The 21,793-nt window shown below is 35.2% G+C and overlaps 1 annotated feature.

Annotated features, from left to right (window-relative positions):
* Positions 19,038-20,237: an enhancer, noted in NCBI's record as "P300/CBP strongly-dependent group 1 enhancer chr4:31462532-31463731 (GRCh37/hg19 assembly coordinates)". NCBI's record gives its function as "activates an origin of replication core promoter dependent on BRD2, BRD4, P300/CBP, MED14 and CDK7 cofactors, with strong dependence on P300/CBP, by STARR-seq in HCT116 cells {active_cell/tissue: HCT116}" and the evidence as "EXISTENCE:reporter gene assay evidence [ECO:0000049][PMID:35650434]".

Genomic DNA, 21,793 nt, shown 5'->3' on the forward strand with positions numbered 1-21,793 from the left:
ATGAGTAACTCCTCCCTTCTCAGGCCCAGTCCCAAGGTGCAACTTGTGTCAGCAGAGTGCGCCGCCAAGATAGCAGGTTCTCACTCATAGGTGGGAATTGAACAATGAGAACACTTGGACACAGGAAGGGGAACATCACACCCCGGGGCCTGTTGTGGGGTGGAGGGAGGGGGGAGGGATAGCATTAGGAGATATACCTAATGTAAATGACGAGTTAATGGGTGCAGCACACCAACATGGCACATGTATACATATGTAACAAACCTGCACGTTCTGCACATGTACCCTAAAACTTAAAGTATAATAATAAAAAAAAAAGATAGTAGAAGCAGGAAGAGAGCTGGCCGGAAGACACCTACCATAGCCGGAAGACGTGTATCCCTGAAGATTGAGAAAGAGGCCATCCAGGTACAACGTAGCAGTTACGTCACACTAGGACACTTCCTGTTTACAGGAGACTATAAAACCTTTGCCCCGTCCTTACTCTGGGCTGATGTCATTTTAGGCCTTAGCCCGCCTGCACCCAGGCGCTCATTAAAACAGCATGTTGCTCCACACCGCCTCCTGTTGTGTGTTGGCGCGCTCTAGGGGTTCAAACAGATACAAGAACCTTCCATTCTGCAGCACTGTTTCTCTGAAACAGGATGTTGAAGCTTCCTGATTCTAGTACCATTTTGTAAGTCAATTTAGGCGATTAGGAAACCACCTCCAAAAAAGTATTCTTTGAAACTTATGAGCAATATTGATTTTCTGTACATGTTTAAGGAAAAAGAGTCCATAGTTTTCATGTTATGAATTAATGCTTTAGAGAGAAATCACACCACTCTAAATCTATTGTTCATGTTAAAAATCAAGTTTATTGACGTAGACAGATTCATGTTATCTTTTCCTTACAATCTGTCATCCCCATAGCTCCTGATTCTAAAATCCAAAAATGTTTTTACAGCAAATCAATAAGTATTTAAAAGTCTCAACTCACAGATTGTTAAACTGACCTTAATTTTTCTCCTGCCACACGGAAAAATTAATTTAACCTAATATTTAAATAGTTTTCTTATATTAACTTTGTCTCTCTTCTGTTTGAACTACTATAGCTATATCATTACATCAATTTGTACCATAAACATCACATGGTTTTAAGATTCTGTTGTAGAATTGCAGTTTTCCTATTCTTTGTCAGGTGCGACATTTTTTTAAAAGTCACTAACAGAAATTAGTGAAGTATCAAAAACAGACACAGATATGAGTGATTCTTTAGTTCAAAGGCCTAAAATATATAGTTTTAAAAATTTAGTTGTAAAAAAAAAAGTTATTAGATAAGATCACATAGATTAATTCATATTTAATTTTTCTTCCTTGTCTTTATTGCCTAACATTTCCCTGCAGTTCATTTACACAGTTTGAACTTTGAGTGTCAGTTCTTTAGTCTTTCCATTTCCCACATAAAAAGACAGAAGTGTTTCCTTATGTCAGTAGGCTTGTTCTAATTTAACAAATTGTCAGTGAGAAGTTGTGAAAAAATAAAGTTTTATTGTTCACTAAAATTTTGGATTCATATTGAATAATCCCATTTATTCATGTTTCAATTGTCATTAAAATAGCTATTTCTAATTTGATTATAAATTCAGTATAGACACCTCTATAGTAGATAAACCAAAACTTAATGTAAAATCATTTGAAATCAACTCAAAATATGCTATTAAGTTGCAGTAATTTAACATGTAAAAAATAATAAAATGATATTATTACAGATGTGTGTGTTCCAATTATCTCAAACTTTTTAAACTTTAATTTGGCTGTGGAAAAGAGTATTTGAAGGACATCACATATAAATGCCTATTTTAAAAATTAGACAAAACTGGAGCTGCTCAGACTCAAAGGCTGTAAGATGGTATCACCAGATGATCATCACTGATTTGCTTCCTTCCCTATCACAGTGAACCCTCCCTCAATGACCCAAAGTGGGCTATGTAACCAGTAGAACTTGAGGAATTCAATTTCAAAAAAAATTGAGCTAAATAAGAGTGTTTCTTTGGCCAAAAATAAATAAATAAATAAAATAAGAATTATTATTTTATTAAGACATGTTTAATAAATGTTATTAATTTCAATGTTGATTATTGAATTAATTTTATGAATACCTTTTGAGGATTTTATACTCCGAGGACATTGCTAGAACTTGAGGAAATGCCTCAATGAAAATAACAATAGCTCATGAACTTTTTCCATTATTTACGAATTTTTCATTTCTCATTATTTACAAATAATTTTTCTAAGTTTTATCTTGTTTAATTCTTACAATAACTGGGTTACAGAGATATATCTCTGCCTGTTGAAGAATGGGAAACATACTCAGAGTGGTTATGCCATGTGCCTAATTTCTCATTAAGAAAGAGTTAGAATAACAGTTTAGTTTTAATACTTATATTTATTTTTTATTTAAAAAGTTGTTCATTGATCACCTGCCATTTATCAAACAGTTTTTCTAAGTTCTGGGAGGTAGAAAAGTGAGTAAAGATAGTGACTCTGACCTCAGTGAGCTCACAACTTTATAGGAGAGACTGATATTTTAACTGTAACATAAATGGGAATAGGATATGTGCTATACTAACATCATCTGCAAAACAGTGAGGAGCTGGAAAACTGGCTCTCTGGCAGGGTGAGGGAAAGAGCTCGGATTTGTCCATTTCTATTTTGTAAATATTTCCACCATGGCTGATTTCCAGGTCCTACCAGTTTAAAAATTGGCTTGAAATTCCTGGATATTTAACAATCAGCTCTCACAAGTGGGTTTAAGCTGACCTCCAACTCACCTCTGATAGTGTAATGGAAGCATAAAAAAGGCAGCAATGAATTCTGCTTGGAGAGGGGTTGGGAAAAGATTCAGAGCAGAAAGAATTTGAGCTAAGCCTTGATGATGAAAAAAGTTGGAGGACAGAGAACAGGGTAGAAGAATGGGTCACACAGTGGGAACATTATATGCAAATTTAAGAAGGCTGAGAATTCATGGTCTTCTGGGGCATGTATGAGCAGATAGCTGAGGTAGGGCCTCTGGAAGCTGTGTAATTGGGACCAGACTGTTAAAAACTTTGAAGGCATTAGGAGTTTTGATTTGTTTGTATAGGATACAGGCATCTCTGGAGGGGGTCTCATAAAACCTCCCTCCAGAGATACCTGTATCCTATACAAAGAAATCATTTGAAGAACAAAACAGCCCAGGCAAGGATGGATTCTACCAAATGCCCAGAACTTTGCAAAGATTGAGGCAAGATTACAAGGAGGGAAGACAAATATTCATATTTGGAGTCAAAGTGAATTTTTAGTTGGTTTCATGATTGTACCTATACTAAAAGTTTCAAACGTGATGATTTTATATATACTTTTCCATCTGGAAAAAGTACAACTCCATAACCAATTATAACAAAACCAATTGTATTTTAGCAACAATTTAATTGATCAAATTTTTTCTCTTTGTTAATATGGTAAGAAAAATAAAAACAGATTGTCCTGAAGACTTACAAATAAAATTTCAATATGGGAAACAGTTTTTTTACTTGGCAAAGCCTAAATTTGTATTAAAGAATTTATAATACAGGGTCAGGCTCTCAGAATTTTTACCCCTAGGCAAACCACTTCGTCTGTGGTGAAATGTCCTACTGAATATCACTAAAAATATTTCACCCGATATCATTTAAGTAAGATTTTATGAGGTTGACTTTTTTAAGTGGAATTAAATTAACTCTATAAGAAAAGGTATACTCAGGATTAAGTAAAGACCATTAGACCGTCAAGGATTATCTTCCTTTCAATACTGTGGTCCCTCCAGACAACATCTGTTTTCCCCATGGCTCAATATTCCTTTCCTAATCTTACTGGTTGGCTGGCCTGAGGATATGTAGTCTACTTCCAAACTCTACTTCTTATAAGTTTCATGAATTTTCATTTTCTATCTTTTTATTTATGCTTTTATCTTGTACATTTGGCACTACTTTCAAGTTTAATTGCAATAATTTCAAAGATAACAGTGTCGATAAACATGTTTTAAGGTAAATGTAATTACAAAGCTACATATATATATTTCCTATGGAAGCAATTGTAACATCTCACTTATTAAGTCATGTTTTAGCTCATTTTTATCTCAATAAACACAAATGCATCAAAGCTTATTTAAATTCACAGAATGAAACATGAATGATTAGAAAGTTCTACAAATAAACCAGTTAGCTTCTCCAAAAAATGGTTCTTGGGCAGAGCTCATAGTCATTTTCCCTTAGTAAATTATTGATCAGATGTTCTCAATGTTTGCCAAAATGTGAAACAAATATTAAGACCTAATGATGGGATGATATATGCAACTATCTTCAACTAAGGGATTCAGTTCAAGATCTTCACATTATTGCATTTGGAAGTTAGACAAGGAGCATATTTACTTTTATTTTACCTGTTGTGGAATGTTACATTGACAGATGTCTTCTGAATGGCTTACTTTTTTTTCTCCCTAAGTATTCAAATCTTCTAATTTTATCTGTTTATTACTGAAATGTCAAAACATTTGCTTCTAGATACCCTGTGTGAACATTCATCTCCAAAGGGTCTCCTAGTAAGTGAGAAGTCAGTGGTTTGGGATATACAGGTCTTTTTGATTAGAGAACTAAGTATTTCCATGGGCTGTTTTCTGAAAATGGAGTTAGGTTCAGTCTTTTATTCCCACTTTAATTTAAAATTAGACAGTTATTTGACAAATTTTCTATTAAGTCAAACACTTCATTAAAGAAGAGTACTAAAGATCATCTTGGCAAAAAAAGCTTTTATATCTGTTCAGCTTAGAGTTCTAATCTTATAGCTAAATGTTTCTTAAGGTTTTTTTTTTTTCTAAAAGAGATCACTTTTTAATGAATGAGTGTAACTTTTTATTAAGACAATTATTTTCATTAAAGAAGTATATGAAAATGGTTAAGTAAAATCAAATGGCTCCAAAAGTCTTAACAGTGAAAACAACAGTCCTGCCAGTTGTTCTTTCCAGAGGCAAGCACTTTTCATTCTCTTAGTTTTTCCTGCTGGTAGTTACCTTCATGGATTTTTTCCAGATTATTATTTTTTTTGGTTTTTCAAGTGAATGCATACATGAATACATGTAATTTTTAAAAGCCTCTTCAGTTTATAATGCATCCTAACAGTACCCTGCCCCATCCCTCCTAATTCTAAATGACTTTTAACTCTTTTAGCAATGTCTTCTATTTTTTTCCTTATGTAACTAGTCGTTTCTTGATTATTTTATACATTATATAGTGATTTCTTGATATGACAGTTGAGGATTTAGCTCTTATACCATCACTATCTTCACTTTTCCTCCCATATTGTCCCAAAGTAGTTACCAGATTTAGGAGCTAAGCAGTCACCACATCATTATGATGATGTACATATTACTCATTGTTGAGAAAAACAGCGTGTTATACTCTTACTTCCTATCTTGTACTTCTTTCTGCCCTAGAATTAATGATTGCCTAACCAACCTTTCCCCCTTGTTTTTTTTTTTTTTTATTTCTGCTTTATCTTCAATGAGCTTCTTTCCAAATGCCCCAAATCTGGCAATAACCCATTATTATTTTTAAGAGAAGGGATCTCACTATGGTGACCAGGCTGGTCTGGAACACTTGGGCTCAAGCCATCCTCTTGCTTAGCCTCCTGAGTAGCTGGAACTACAGGCATGGGCCATTCTCTCCAGCTAACCTATTAATATTTTTAGTGTTTCTTTTAAAAACCAGCTCCATAGCTGGAATATTGCCTGCGTTAGATCCTATTTGCTGGATCCATGTCATTCTCTGGTTTGTGTACTCCTTCATTTTGCTGGAGTATTTTCTCCAATAGCTTCCCAAGAAAGGGTACATAGAGGTAGCCCCTGAGTCTTTGCTTGTCTAAAAATGTATTATTTTACCTTCACCCTTGATTATTTGGCTGAATACAAATTTATATGAAAATTATCAATACATAAACTTCTGACTTTTTTCATTCCTTTATTTCCTGCAATCCCAGTAAACAGCTAGGCAAATTATTTTTTCACTTAAAAAATTTGGCAAGTCATCAAATCCAAAATGTTAAGCATGTATTTACATAATTTTTATAACTTTTCCCAATAATTAAAATAAGTATCAAAATTATGAAGTTGTTTTCAACTGTCCTTGTGTATGAATGTGTGTATAAGAGAGGGAATGAGAGAAAAATGATAGGGAGACACTGAGATGACAAACAAATAAATTATCCTTTAAAATATGACCCATATTTAAAATATTTAATAAAGAGGCAAATAAAAGCGGGCAATATAATATATTTGTTTCAAAGGATTTATCTATATTTTGCCACTCTACACTAGATGTACCTAAGGCACTTCATGAGAAACCTTAGCTATTGAATTAGGACGTTAGAGTAGCATTTGTAATCTATTGCTATAGTATAATTGCCTGGTATGGAAAAAGATGAGAGATTTTTTTCTAGTTTTGAGCTTCCTCTTTTTTTAGTGTTTCTCTTTTTATTTCCCATTACTAATACCATTATTTGGAAAATTCTCATGTGTCAAGTACTAATAGCTGTTGAGGAACTAGGATGCATATGCACAAATTCTGTGAATATATTTATGTGATAAAATTTTTGGTGCTGATAAATTATCAGGGAGTTTTGTATTTTTTTTTGTAAGCCCAAGAATGTGATTTGGTGCCATGGATCTTGAAGAGTTTAGAATCAATAGGCTTGCATTCAGATTTAAGCTCAGCTATTTTCTAGTAATAAAAGCTTTATAAATTAAAAAAGTTTTATTCAGATATAATACATATATGTAACAATAATGCAGGTATATTACCTGTAATACATGAAAATAAATAATACATTTATGCACACATCATTCACATGCCATAAAAATCAACCTCTTGAAGAATGCAGTTTAGTGCAACCACTCCTATTATTTACTGTTAGAACATTTTCATCATCCAAAAAGGAAAACCCAAACCCATTTGCAATTAATCCCTATTTTTCATCGCAATTCCTACCCCTTGGAAATCACAAATCTGCTTTCTGTCTCTATGGTTTTGCTTATTCTGAACACTGCATGTAAATAAAATCACATAATGTGTGGTCCTTTGTGAATGGCTTCATTCACTTAGCATGATGTTTTCAGGGTTCATTCATGTTCTAGCATGTACTTCTTTTCTTTTATGGAAGGATAATATTCCATTGCATGGACAGGGTACTTTTGTTCATTAATTCAGCAACTGATGAACATCGGTTGTTTTCCTCCACTTTTTGTCTACTACAAATAATGTTACTTCTACAAATATTTATGTACAAGTTTTGTGGTGATAAATGTTTTTATTTTTCCTGAGTATACACTTAGTAGTGGAATTGTTGGGTCATATAGTAACTGCCTATGTGTTTGAGAAAATGACAGTTTTCTGATATGTCTACGTCATTTTACATTCCCACAGTTGTTTATGAGCATTAAAAGTATTCCATATTTGCCAGTACATGTTATTATCTGCCCTTTTTATTATCTCCATTCTGGTAGGTGTGAAGTAGGATACCATCGTAGTTTTAATTTGCATTTCCCTAATGATGAATGATGTTAAACATCATTTATATTGGCCACTGTATAAAATAGCATATTGGCCTTTGCGGTATTTGTTTGGAGAAATATTTATTCAAATCTTTTGAAAAAATTTAATTGGATTGTCTTTTTATTACGAAGATTTAAGTTTTTTATGTATTTTGGATACCAGTTTGGATACCTTTATCAAATACCTGATTTTAAATATTTATATTATTTTGTTGTTTTTCATTTTCTAGATGTTGTCCTTTGAAGCAAAATTTTGTAATATATAAAATCCAAGTTTTATTTGTTTTCTTTTATGACTTGTGCTTTTAGTGTCATATCTGAGAAACCATTGGCTAATCCATGGTAAGAATAATATACTACTATGTACTTTTTAAAGAGTTTTGTACTTTCAATTTTTACATTTAGGTCTTTAGTGTTTTGAGTTAATTCTCATATATGGTGTGAGAGAACTGTCCACTTTTATTCTTTTGCGTGTGGATATTCAGTTGTCCTAGCACCATTTGTTGAAAAGACTATCTAGTTAATTGTCTAAATATTCCCATTGAAAATTAATTGACCATAAGATTTAAGGTTGTATTTTTCTGAGTTTTCAATTTTATTTCATCAATTTATATGTCTGTTGTTTTGCAGATTTCACAAATATGTTGATTGTCCTGGCTTTGCATTAAATTTTTAAATAGGAAAGTCTGTCTTCTAACTTTGACTTCTTGTTGTAGATTATTTTGGCTATTCTGGGTTTCTTGAAATTCCATATGAATTTTAGAGTAATCTTGTCAATTTCTGGGAAAAAAGGCAGTTGGAATTTTCACAGGGATTGTGTTGAATTTGTAGATAAGATTGCAGAGTATTACTGCCATGGTTTGAATGTTTGTCTCGCTCCAAAATTTATTTGTTGAAACCTAATCCCCAATGCAATATTATTAGGACATGGGGACTCATGGTAGGTGATTAGGTCATGAGGCTCAACCTTGACAAATGGGACTGGTGCCCTTATAGAAGAAGCCTGAGGGACCTTGTTCATCCCCTTTATCCTGTGAGAACACATTGCATTTGGAAGTTAAAAAGAGAAGTTGCCATTTGTGAATCAGAAAACAGGCCCTCACCAGACACAAAATCTGACATCTTGGTATTGGACTTCACAGCCTCCAAAACTGTAAGAAATAAATTTCTGTTGTTTACAAGCTATTCAGTTATGGTATTTTGTTATAACAGCCAAAACAAATTAATACAACTGCTATTTAAAAAATAGTATGTGTTCCAATTCATAAGTATAAGATTTTTAAAAATATTTAGATCTTGTTTAGTTTATATCAATAATGTTTTATCATTTTCAATATACAAGTCTTGCACCTCTTTTGTTAAATTTCTTCCTTTTTTCATTTTTTTGGTACTATTGTACAAGGCATTGTTTTCTCAATTTAGTTTTCAGAATTTTTACTGTGACTATAGAGAAATAAAGTTAATTTTTGTATAGTGATCTTGTATCCTGTCACCTTGTGGAACTTATTTCTTAGTCCTAATAGTAATATTTGTGAGTCTAATAGTAGTTTTATGTAGGTTATAATTTTTATATATAATAACTTGTCATCTGTGACTTGAGATAGTTATACTTCTTCCTTTCCAATCTCAAAACCTTTTACAGGTTGAGCGTCCCTAATCTGTGATGCTACTGTGCTGCTTAGTTATTTTGAACACTCTATTGTGTCACTATGTTAATGGTATGCCACATTTTTTTACTGTTAAGTACTTAAGTGTGAATAGGTGTAAGAAAATAATTGCTTATGGTAACATATGAACTCAAACTCAGGAATGATAGTGACGCCAAACAACCACAGACTGTGTGAGTGGCAGAGACAGTGACACCATTGTTTTCTGTTGGTTCAATGTATGTAAACTTTGTTTCATGCACAAAATTATTTAAATATTGTATAAAATTACCTCCAGCCTCTGTGTATAAAGTATATATAAAACACAAATGAAGTTCATGTTTAGACTTGGGTTCCATCCCCAAGAGATCTCATTACATATATGCACATATTCCAAAATTCAAAAAATCCCAAATCCAAAGAATTTCTGGTACCATACATTTTGGATAAGGGATACTCAATCTTTATTTTTAATTTTGTTTTCCAAATTTCCCTGCCTGTAAACTTTATGACATTCATATAGAATTTGCAAGAGCAGACATTTTTGCCTTGTTCCTGATCATAGAAAGTATTCAGTCTTTAACCATTAACCGTGATATTGGCTGTGGATTTGTTTTTAAGTCCTGTATAAAGTTGAAAAAGTTCCTGTCTTGTCTTAATTTATTGGGAGATTATGTAATGAAAGTGTATTGGATTTTGCAAAATACTTTTCCTATGCCTAGGGATATAATCTTATGGTTTTTTGCCCTTTATAATATAATATGGTATATTACACTGTTAGTGTGTGTGTGTGTGTGTGTGTGTGGTGTGTGTGTGTGTGTGTGTGTGTGTGTGTGTGTGTGTTAAACCAACCTTGCATTCCCAGAAAATGTCTCATTTGGTTGAGGTGTATAATCCTTTTAATATGTTGCTAGCTTCAGTTTGTAGGTATTTTGTTGGTGATTTTGGTCATTTTATTCAAAGAGATATTGGTCTGAAAATTTCTTACAATATTTTTGTCTGGTTTTGGTGTCTGGGTAATACAGGCCTCTTAGAATGAGGTTGGAAGTTTGTAGAACTCGCCAGGGAAAGCATCTGCATCAGGGCTTTTCTTCGTGAAAGGTTTTAGATTAATAATTCAGTCTCTTAACTTGTATAGGCCTATTCAGATTTTCTATACTTTCTCTTGGTGTTTTAATAATTTGTGTCTTTATAAAAATTTGTCCATTTCATTTACATTATCTAATTTATTGACATACGATTGCTTATATTATTCTCTGATATGGTTTGGATCTGTGTCCCCCCAAAATCTCATGTTGAATTGTAATCCCCAATGTTGGAGGTGGGGCCTGATAGGAGGTGGCTGGATTATGGAGGCTGATTTCTCATGAATGGTTTAGAACCATCTCCTCTTGACACTGTCCTAGCAATAGCAAGTTTTCCTGAGTTTTCATGAGCGCTGGTCATCTAAAAGTTTGTGGCATCTCCCCTACCACCTCTCCACCTCTGCTCCTGCCATGTGAGATGCCTTGCTCCCCTTTTGCCTTCCACCATGGAAGCTTCTTCCTGAGGCCTTCCCAGAAACAGAAGCTGCTATGTGTTCCTATACAGCCTGCAGAACTATGAGCCAATTGAACCTCTTTTGTATATAAATTATTCCATCTCAGGCATTTCTTTATAGCAGTGAGAAAACGAATGAATACATCCCCTATAGTTTTTTGTTGTTTTTTTTTTCCAGTGGCAAAATCTTAGCTCACTGAAACCTCTGCCTCCAAGGTTCAAGCGATTCTCATGCCTCAGCCTCCTGAGTAGCTGGGACTTGAGGCATGTGCCACCACACCTATTTTTAAATTTTTATTATAATAGAGACAGGGTTTCACCATGTTGGCCAGGCTGGTCTCAAACTCCTGACCTCAAGTGATCCACCCACCTTAGCCTCCCAAAGTGCTGATATTATAGGCATAAGCCACCACACCTGGCCCTTTGTAGTCGTTTATATTTTGTGAAATTGATAGACACCTCATTTAGTTGTGGTTTTTATAGTTTGATTCATCTCTCTTTTTTTATTGGTAAGTCTAGATAAAAGACTTAACAAGTCTTTTTGTCAATTTTGCTGATTTCTTAAAAAACAACTTGTTTTTATCAAATTTTCTTTTATTCTATCCTCAATTTCATTTATTTCTTTTCTAGTCTTTTTATTTCCTTTTTTTTTTTTTGCTTGCTTGCTTTGAGTTTAGATTGCTCTTTTTTCCTTTTTTCTTAAGGTGAAATTTAGGTCACTAATATAACATATTTATTATTTTGTAATATGCAGTAGTTCCCCCTTGTCTGTAGTTTTACTTTCTGTGGGTTTAGTTACTGTTGGTCAACCATGGTTCAAAATAGGTTGATATATAGTACCACAAAATATTGAGGGAGAGAAAGAGAAGGAGAGAGACCATTTTCACATAATTTTTATTAAAGTATATTGTTATATTCTATTTTTATTATTAGTTATTTTCATTAATCTCTCACTGTGACTAATTTATAAATTCATCTTTGTCATAAGTATATATTTGTAGAAAACAATAATATAGAGAGAGTTTGGTTCTATCCCTGGTTTCAGGCATAGATTGAGGGTCTTGGAATATATCCCCTGTGGATAAGAGGGAGCTACTTTAATGCTATTATTCCTGTTTTACAAATGTAGAAGTAGAAGCACAGCAAGATTAAGTAATTTGCCTAAGGTCACACAGCAAACTCTAGAGTTGGTGCTTGCTCCCACTGTAAAAGTATGTAAATGATAACAATGGAAGAAATTGGGCAAGACCACCAAAACAGAGGCCATCATCTTTCCCTGGCTGTGCTGCTGCATTTCCGTCTTGCTGTGCTGGGTTGTCAGGGAAATTAATTTTCTATCCTACATTAATGTATAAGATCAGGCCAAACTCCATGCTTTAGCTGCAATGACAGGCTCTTGTCTCCTTTCCTTGTGTCTTAGGTGAGGTTTTAAATCAAATATATGAAGTGTAAGAACTGGTTGACTGCACATTCTGATCAATTTTAAAGCATTTCTGTTTGTTAATGTTATATTCATTTGGGAACCATTTAAGGCACATGTAACCTTACAGTATTAGAATGTATTCATGGGTTTTAATACCACTAAGAGTTAATTTGAAAAATAAAAACAGAAAGTTCTTCTTCCCTATTTTTCTTATTCTAGTTCTATACAATGCCCCACTTATTTCTCTAGATGTACTACTTACTGCCTATTTTAGGCAAACATCTACATATGCCTTCTATTGGCTGAGAAAAGGAAAAGTGTGAAAATACCTCAGGCACATACTAGAATTAATTTGATAAGACAGGAGTGGCCAATTATCATGGCATAATGGCATTTTTTGTTGCTGTTGTTGTTTGTCCAGTGGGGAAAATCAAGGTAACAAGTTGCAAGATGACTGATCCTCAGGGAGTCATTGCCTTTCAAAGTAAATGATGGAAATCAGAACCATTTTATGTTTTTGTTGTTTAGTTATTGAATAGAACTAAATCTGTAAACTGCTTTGTTAACACTTTGTTAGTTTACATATGTACCCTTTAAAATAGGATATTTTCTTAGCTACATTTAAAGAGGATGAATGAGACACAATTAAGCCACAACACCCCTTTTTCTTAGAGGACCAGAACATGTTTCAGTATATTCATACATGCCCACATCCACTTATATAACCTTTTATTCTTCCTGAGCCTGCATCCCAATTTGAGCCAAGAGATGAAAGTTTGATTAGTATTTTGTAAATATTATAATTTTACAATATAATTTAGACTTAGTAGCCATTAATAAATTTTTTAAAAACATGTCGAGTCAGTTATGTACTGCGGCTCTATGAGAAAAACATCAGTTAAGGTCAGATTCTTACAGACTTTTACATGAGAAAAATAAAGCAAATTTTAATTGGATAAAATTCCAAATTAATGAAAAATTTCCTCAGTGACTAATGTGCTAAGAAAGACACAAATGTGGTGATATTAGAATTTACAATATATAAAACTTACAAAATTACAGCTAGATAGGAGGAATAAGTTCTGGTGTTTGATACCATTATAGAATGACAATACTTAACTGTAATATATTATACAGTTTCAAATAGCTAGAAGGAGTATGAACCTTCCCAACACAAAGAAATGATAAATGTTTGAGATGATGGATAAGCTAATTAATCTGATCTGATTACTATACATTGTATGTATCAAAGCATCACTATGTACCCCACAAATATATACAATTATCATTTGTCAATCCAAAATAAAATATTTATTCTAGTCATAAGATACTCATGCTATCTGGAGAAGAAGAGAGGGTGAGAGAGTAAGGGAGAAGAGTATGAATAGATCTCCTTTGTGAAAAGAAACTAGCCTGCTTCGAATATGGGTTAAGGTAGTGGTGGGGTGTTAAAAGTTCACCATAAAAGTAAAAATATAAGCAAAGGTATGATCCTGTCATAGTGAAGGCACCTACTTGAGAAGTTTAAAAATAAGCAGAGACTTTAATGAGAGTGAAGAAAAGCTGCATAGTTATCTGTGAGTAGAGCAATCTAGGTGGAAGAAAGAACAAGTGCCCTCATGAAAGCACCCTAGGCAAAGATGTGTGCTTGGCATATTCCAGGGACAGCAGGATGCCAGTGTGGGTGCAACAGCATAGTAATAAGAGCAGTGACAAAGATCCTGTCCTTCACCAAACTCTAGCCAGCCTCCTCTGACCCCTCTTCTCAACAAAGCCTAGTAAAGATCTGGTAAAGACCTTTACTTGGCTTGTAAAGACCTGAACAAACACTAACATTTATAATAGCTCAAAGCTATTATAATAGCTCAGGTTTATAATAGTTCAAGGCTTTGTCCCTAGGATCACTCCTGTTCACCAGCCCCACATCACCCCCATTAAAATGCCTGCCTGAGAAAAGTCAAGGCTACCTAAAGAATTTACTATTTGTTTGAGCTAACATCTGAAGCGAGAGCTCCTGTCTCCCTGCCTCTGTGAGATGGCAGGATACAAGCCTAACTTCAATGCATGCCAATTAGCAAATCCAGATGGATTTCACTCAACCAACCCCTCGTCCCTGCTTTTTGTAACTGTTCACTTCCCTGACTCAGTTCTTGTCCCTGCATACGTTTTGATTAACCCTTTAAATGCTCAGTCACCTCTGCACAAATTGGAATGGAGCTCAGCTCTTCCCTCCACTGTCAGTAGCTAATGAATAAAGTCGATTTTCACCGCTTGCTTTAACTAATGTCCAGCCATGTTATACTTGACAGGAGTAGGACACAAAGTCAGAGGTATTAGACGGGAGTCTGTCCACATTAAAGCTTGTAATCTATGATACTCTGGATTTAACTTAGAGTGAATTGGAAATCCGTTAGAGGCTTTGGGGCGAGAAGAGGAATATGACATATTTTCAAAGAAACTATCTAACCTCTGTGTGGAAGAACACCTGCAGATGGGCACGGGGAGAAGCAGAGACACCAATTAGGAGGCTTTTTCAGTAGTCTCAGCAAGAAATGATGATGTGTTGGTCTCAGTTAGTAGTGGGGTATATGTGAAATGATAAATTTTGGTTATATTTGAAGTTAGTATTACCCGGACTTGCCAATTCATGGTAGAAGCTGAATTTTAATAGATATGGATTATTTACATACATAAATTAAAATGATTTTACACTTTGCTCAAATATCTGTGTCAAATTTATAAATAATGATTTTTTTTTCCAGAACAATTATGTCATGGAAGAAAAGACATCATTATCTAATTAGCAAATTCAGATATATAGTATACATTTCCCACTTGATTTTCTCCAGATAATTCAAAAGTGATAACTCTAATGAAGATAGACAAATTCAGTGTGTTAATTAGCAGATGATAATGAAAGGACATTATTGTTGAGGATGCTATCTATAGAAGATTTCCTATTATGTTCCCCCAGAAATACTTGCTTTTTCTCTCAGACTTTAAGAAAAATAAGGAGATTATTTTAAGATAAAGTTTTGTGTTTCCAGAAAATATCTTTATATGAAAAACAAGTTCAGTAAGTCAGTTCTATCAATTGGAAATTAAATTTCTCATTTGGTAGCCACAGCTGTTGAAAGTAGAACAAATAACCAGAGTCTGAGACCTCTTAAAGAGACAATTGTTTTCTTTATTTGTAGTAAGTGTGATAAACTTCATCCTAAATTTTATTAAGGAGAACACATTTATGACCCTTTTCCAGACACTACGAACAATTATGCATTTTCTTCCATCCATCCATCCATCCATCCATCCATTTAGCTTTCACCCAACATTGCCCAAGAATCATGGAAGTTTGCTTAAAGCGTTTCTCATCTCTGCAGTGGTAGCGACATGTATCTGAAACCTAAGTTAGGAATAGTTTGGAATAGCACATTCTATTTATATGTGAATAATTTTTTAAACCCGGATTATTTTTGTAATGCCAAATACAGAAAAGAAATGTCAAAAAAAAATGTGTTTCGAATGTTTAATTGAAAGTCTGTGAATTTACACTAACCAAGAAGTTTCTTTGGGAAAGCTAAAGTGTGGGAGTGTGTGATTTTCATGCTTATCCAAAAAACGGGACTTTTAAGGATTTCTTATGCTTGACAACAGATGGACCTGCGTTAGAATCGTGTTTCTATCATTTATAAGTTCTGTCACATTAAACATGATATGTAACTTCTCTGAGCCTTAGTATTATCAACTGTGAAATGGAGTAAATAATATTAATTGCACGAGATTCCTGTAAGAATTTAATAGAATAATGTAATAGAATGCTTTCTAAATTTCATTGAAAAGTTGCATGCAACTCAGTCATGTAAATATATAAATATTCTTTTTTTGATCTTAGAATAGTTCACTATCTATTAGTAATAGTCTATTAATAGTACTTTTCACAAGAACATAAATAATAAATACAGGTTTATAATAGCTGTATTATTGCTGCTATACACACTTCTTTACTGCACCACTTTGAATGGCCCGATTTTTGCTATCTTAAAATCAGCACTGTTTACATTTAATAAGGCTACCACACAGTGAAATTATCTTATGCAAAAGATTTAAAATAAAAATTAACCTATTCATTTACTGCAAATGTGTTCTTCTATTGAACTTCAGGTACTGTGTTTATTACTAGAAATACAGTGATGTACAGACATAAAACACAGTTTCTCCATCAATGTCAAGAACAGTTTTGGAGGGAAATTTTTGGCAGCACACTGTTATTTCTCTTTATGATTTGTGATCTTTTCTACGTTTCTTCAAACTGTTATGCAGAAAAAAAAATAAACCAGCATTTTGAATGGCTTACTAGCGTTCCTAAGCCACATTTACAGGCCTTCATAAGAAGGATTTTTCTCCCTCTAAACCTTACTTGTGGCTTAATTGGATTATAGGTGCATAGATAAATTTTGCTTCCCTAAAATGTATGGACAGGCATTATGGCATGGCTGGCTCTAAATCCAGCCATGGAAATGAGGCATCGTATTTGTCTAAGCAATATCAACTGGATGAAGCACACAGAACTCAGAGTTTATTCTTCCCCACTACTTCCTGATGTTCCAAGTCTCCATTCCCTTATGTTTTTTACCTTCCTGTTTTTTTTTAAAAAAAAAAAAAATTATTAAACATTCATGCAGTTAAAATGTCCATATTGTGTCTGGTTTAATTTTCTTTTCCTCCATCAGGCTTGAGGCTCAGCAACTGAAGATTTCCTCATCCCTCACTTTGAAGCTGGTCTGCCCCCTTTGATTTTCTCACTGGGGCCTTGGCTTCATAACAGTGATGGGACAGGGAATTGGTTGCGCGAACATGACAAAGCTCTCTAGGCTAGTAAGTTACCATTGAAATCCTTTCTGTTGATTGTTTCTGCTTCTCTTGGCTAACGCAGAACTGTTTTCTTTGCTTTCTGTACAACGGCTAGTCATGCTCTAATTCTCCCACTGGGCACATGTGAGAATTCCTGAGAGGGTTCTAAGGAGTTTCCCCACTGGCAAATTTCCTAGATTGTTTTTTTTTTTTTTTTTGATTCTCTGCTTTAAACAACCACCTCCAGCAATATACTCCCAATTTCTTGCTGCTGGAGCAGACTTGCCAGCCTTTTAGGGTACAGTAAAAGCATACTGGATATGTGATGCTCCATCCAGATCCACTAACTAGCTGGCTTATGTGCCTACCCCCATGCCCTGGGAGAATTAGCAGTTAACAGGGTACAGCCGCACCCTTTTGGTGAATTGTCCTTGGCCAAAGTGGAGCTCCCTCATCCTGGAGGCTATGAACCATTTCTTCCCCGTGTCCCTTTCTGCCCAGAAGGGCACTGACTTCAGCTGTAACTAACCGATAATGCGGTATAAAAGTCACCCCTTTGTCTTAAGGTGAGCCCAATCCTGGACTCACCTGAATCAGTCACATGTGCAAAGTCCCTTTGCCTGGATTAGATGAAGTGAGTTTTCAACTGAGACCAAGTTCTTGCTTACTCTAGATCTAGTACACTATCTTGTTTCTTTCACTTATATTTTCTTGAGCACACACCTCTAATGTATCCATTTAACAAGAAACCTTGTCTCAGGCTCTGCTCTGGGGAACTCAACATAAAACAGTAAGTAATGTGGTTGTAGCCTGACTGGTTTTGTGATGCCTGCTTGAACTGTGGGAAGCTCATGCATCTGAGTGTAGCTGCTTATGGTTTGCCAGAGTCCTTCTTCTCTGTGCCACCTTAAAGCTAGTCCGGGTTTTATACATAAATGCCCTTGACTGGCTCCTGTAAACATTTAAATCTTTAACCCACAAGCTACCAATTTATTCCGTTCTGGTATGGCTTTTTACTTAGCCACATTAGAAATATATGACTGATGAATGTTAAGACTGGAGGATAAGAAACAGCTAATGTTGTCATATACTAAGCAATTTACATAGAATACTATTACTTTTCATAATTGTCCTATGACACTAGTATTGTTAAGGGTCATCTAAAAACTGAAGGAACAAAACTGAAAATGTAGGACTCAGGATTCAAAAACAAAGCTGAAGAAAGATTAGTTGAGAATCTAACAAAATAACTTTGAATTCCATAGTCAACAGGAAACTCAACATAAACTAATATCATGATTTGACTAGAAAAAAAAGACAGTGCAAACTTGGGATACTTCTATAGAAAGAAAGCTCATACTTGGAAGATATTATGTTCTGTGCTTCATACTTAAAAGAAATATCTATAAAAACTGATGCCAACTTTAAAACATTATTTCGGAGGTGAAGTAAGTAATTTCTCTGAAGGAGTTTATCCCAGTAAATAGAAGACTGGAAGGAAATTGATCAGTCTTCAAATTTTAAGAACTATTAGATTTTATATGGACTTGAAGGAATTTGACCTGAAATAGTTTAGTGCAAAAAATTTTTACAAGCTGAGACCTGTACTATCATCACTCGAAATATTGAACTGTAAGATGATGTATAGACAGAATAATAGCCCTAAAATATGCCCACGTTCTAACCCCCAAACCTGTGAATATGTTACCTTACATGGCCAAAGGGACTTAGCACATGTGACAGAAAGGATCTTGAAATGGGAAGATTATCCTAGATTATACAGGTGGGTCAATGTAATCACAAGCCTCCATATAAGAAATAGAGAAGAAGCTGTAACCAAGAATCAGAGGTCATAGGTTTGTAGGGCCCTAAGCCATAGAATTCAGGACCCGGCCAGGCACGGTGGCTCACGCCTGTAATCCCAGCACTTTGGGAGGCCGAGGTGGGTGGATCACCTGAGGTTGGGAGTTCAAGACCAGCCTGACCAACATGGAGAAACCCCGTCTCTTCTAAAAATACAAAATTAGCCCAGCATGGTGGTTCATGCCTGTAATCCCAGCTAGTTGGGAGGCTGAGGCAGGAGAATCACTTGAACCCAGGTGGCAGAGGTTGCGGTGAGCCAAGATCATGCCATTGTGCTCCAGCCTGGGCAATAAGAGCAAAACTCCGTTTCAATAAATAAACAAATAAATAAATAAATAAATAAATAAATAAATAAATAAATAAAAAACGAATTTAGGACCCTTGAAAGGCTGAAAAAGGTGAGGAAGCAGATTATTTCCTAGATCTCCAGAAAGAACAGAGCCCAACAAACTTGATATTAGAATTTCTAATCCCCAGAACTGTAAGATAATACATTGATGTTAAGTTACTAAATTGGTGGTAATTTGTTACACTAGCAATATAAAACTGTTCTGGATGGCCTACTAAGTACAAAGGGGATTCTAGTATCAGATGGGAGGATACATATGATGTTCTTTTTTTTTTTTCTTTTTTTGCAGGAGACTGGAGTTTCATTACTCAAATCCGTCTCCCCGAGCATTCTGGGAACAGAGGTTTAAGGATAACTTGGTGGGTAGGTGGAGAGCCAGTGACCAGGAGTGCTAATTGGTCACGGATGAAATCCTAGGGAGTCGAAGATGTCTTCTTGCACTGAGTCAGTTCCTGGGTGGGGGCCACAAGATCAGATGAGCCAGTTTATAAATCTGGGTGGGGCCAGCTGACTCATCAAGTGCGGAGTCTGCAAAATATGTCAAGCACTGATCTTAGGAGCAGTTTAGGACAGGTCAGAATCTTGTAGCCTCCAGCTGCATGACTCCAAAGCCATAATTTCTAATCCTGTGGCTAATGTTAGTCCTATAAAGGAAATCTAGTCCCCAGGCAGGAAGGAGGTCTGCTTTTGGAAAGGGCTATTACTGCCTTTGTTTAAATTATGAACTACAAATTAAGTTTTTCCCCAACGTTAGTTCAGCCTATGCCCAAGAATAAACAGAGACAGCTTCGAGTTTAGAAGCAAGATAGAGTCAGTTAAGTTAGATGTCTTTCACTGTCTCAGTCATAATTTTGCCAAGGCAATTTCAATCCCTCCTTTTCGGTTTTATAACACCTTAATCTTAAGGTGTAGGCTATAAAGATGGGAAAAGGCCATTGATCACTCTGGCTTCTTCCTGCTGACGGGGGATGTAGTGGGAATGGGAGTGAAGCCCAAAGTGAGAAGAATGGAACTGCTTTGCAACTGTCTTTTGAGTGTACTCATGCAGGCCTCGCTGGGCTTCCAAGACTTGCGTGGCAAAAACATTCGTACTCTCAGCTATAGTTTTAATACAGTATTTACGTGAGCAGTACACTGTAAGGTAAATAACGAGTCCTAAGATGAGGAGTACAATTCACAATTTTAAAAGCAAAGATTTGAAAGCAATCGTTTGGGGACTTTTAACCCAAAAAGAATTTAGAATTTAGTGTGAACTGCAGAAAAAACCCTCAAGAACAGCTAACAGCAGCGTACCATAGTTTTTCTTTGGAAGCATTATTTTTATCTCTCCAGTCCCCATTTTTATTAAAAACAAATCATGATAGAACTGATTTACAGTTTACAAAATAAATTTTAGTTTTACTGTATGTGGCCTGATTATTTGCACAAAATACAGCAAGAAAAATTATTTTTCACTTAGGCTTTTTAAAATGGCTTTGATGAAACTCTGTTCCACGAAGAATCTCAGATAAGACTTTTTAAAAGCTGAGCCCAGCCATGGATTTGTACCCTCATGTTGGGAGCAGGTCCCCCAAAATCTGGCCATAAACTGGCCCCAAAACTGTCCATAAACAAAATCTCTGCAGCACTGTAACATGTTCATAATGGCCCTAACACCCATGCTGGAAGGTTGTGGGTTTACCAGAATGAGGGCAAGGAACACCTGGCCCGCCCAGGATGGAAAACCACTTAAAGGCATTCTTAAGCCACAAACAATAGCATGAGCGATCTGTGCCTTAAGAACATGCTTCTGCTGCAGTTAACTAACCCAACCTATTCCTTTAATTCGGCACATCCCTTCATTTCCCATATGGGATACTTTTAGTTAATTTAATATCTATAGAAACAATGCTAATGACTGGATTGCTGTTAATAAATATGTGGGTAAATCTCTGTTCAGGGCTCTCAGCTCTGAAGGCTGTGAGACCCCTGATTTCCCACTTCATACCTCTATATTTCTGTGTGTGTGTGCGTTAACTCCTCTAGCGCCGCTGGGTTAGGGTCTCCCCGACCAAGCTGGTCTCGGCACCCTCAAATACCTATGAGTTGAGTAAAGTCCTCTCCTCTTGAGGTCCCAAGATAATTTGGGGTTCCTGGGCCTGTTAGAAAGTGACATTCTTTACTTACCACAGTGCAGGAACCTTGTCCAGGGACTCTATGTGGACAAGGTATGAGGCCAGATTCCCCAACAGACTTTAATTGGCTCTATAAGTCAACTTTGATTCTTTAAAGGAAGCATGCCATTCCAATCAAAGCCTTGGTAAAATGACCAGTTTCTCCAATGGTGTCCTGTTACAAAAGAAAACATTCTTATTGCACTTATGCAATTAATTATACTGCCATAAATTGAGAATACTCACAAATGGTTCTCAAATTCTAGAGAAATCAGGTAGAGAGAAACAAATATGCTCCAAAATTTTTCACAGGAGTGTATTTTACTCACTTGTTTAAAGTTGCAAATAGCACTAAAGAAATAAGTT

Source organism: Homo sapiens, chromosome 4 (genome assembly GCF_000001405.40).
Source record: "Homo sapiens chromosome 4, GRCh38.p14 Primary Assembly".
NCBI classification, from domain to species: Eukaryota; Metazoa; Chordata; class Mammalia; order Primates; family Hominidae; genus Homo; species Homo sapiens.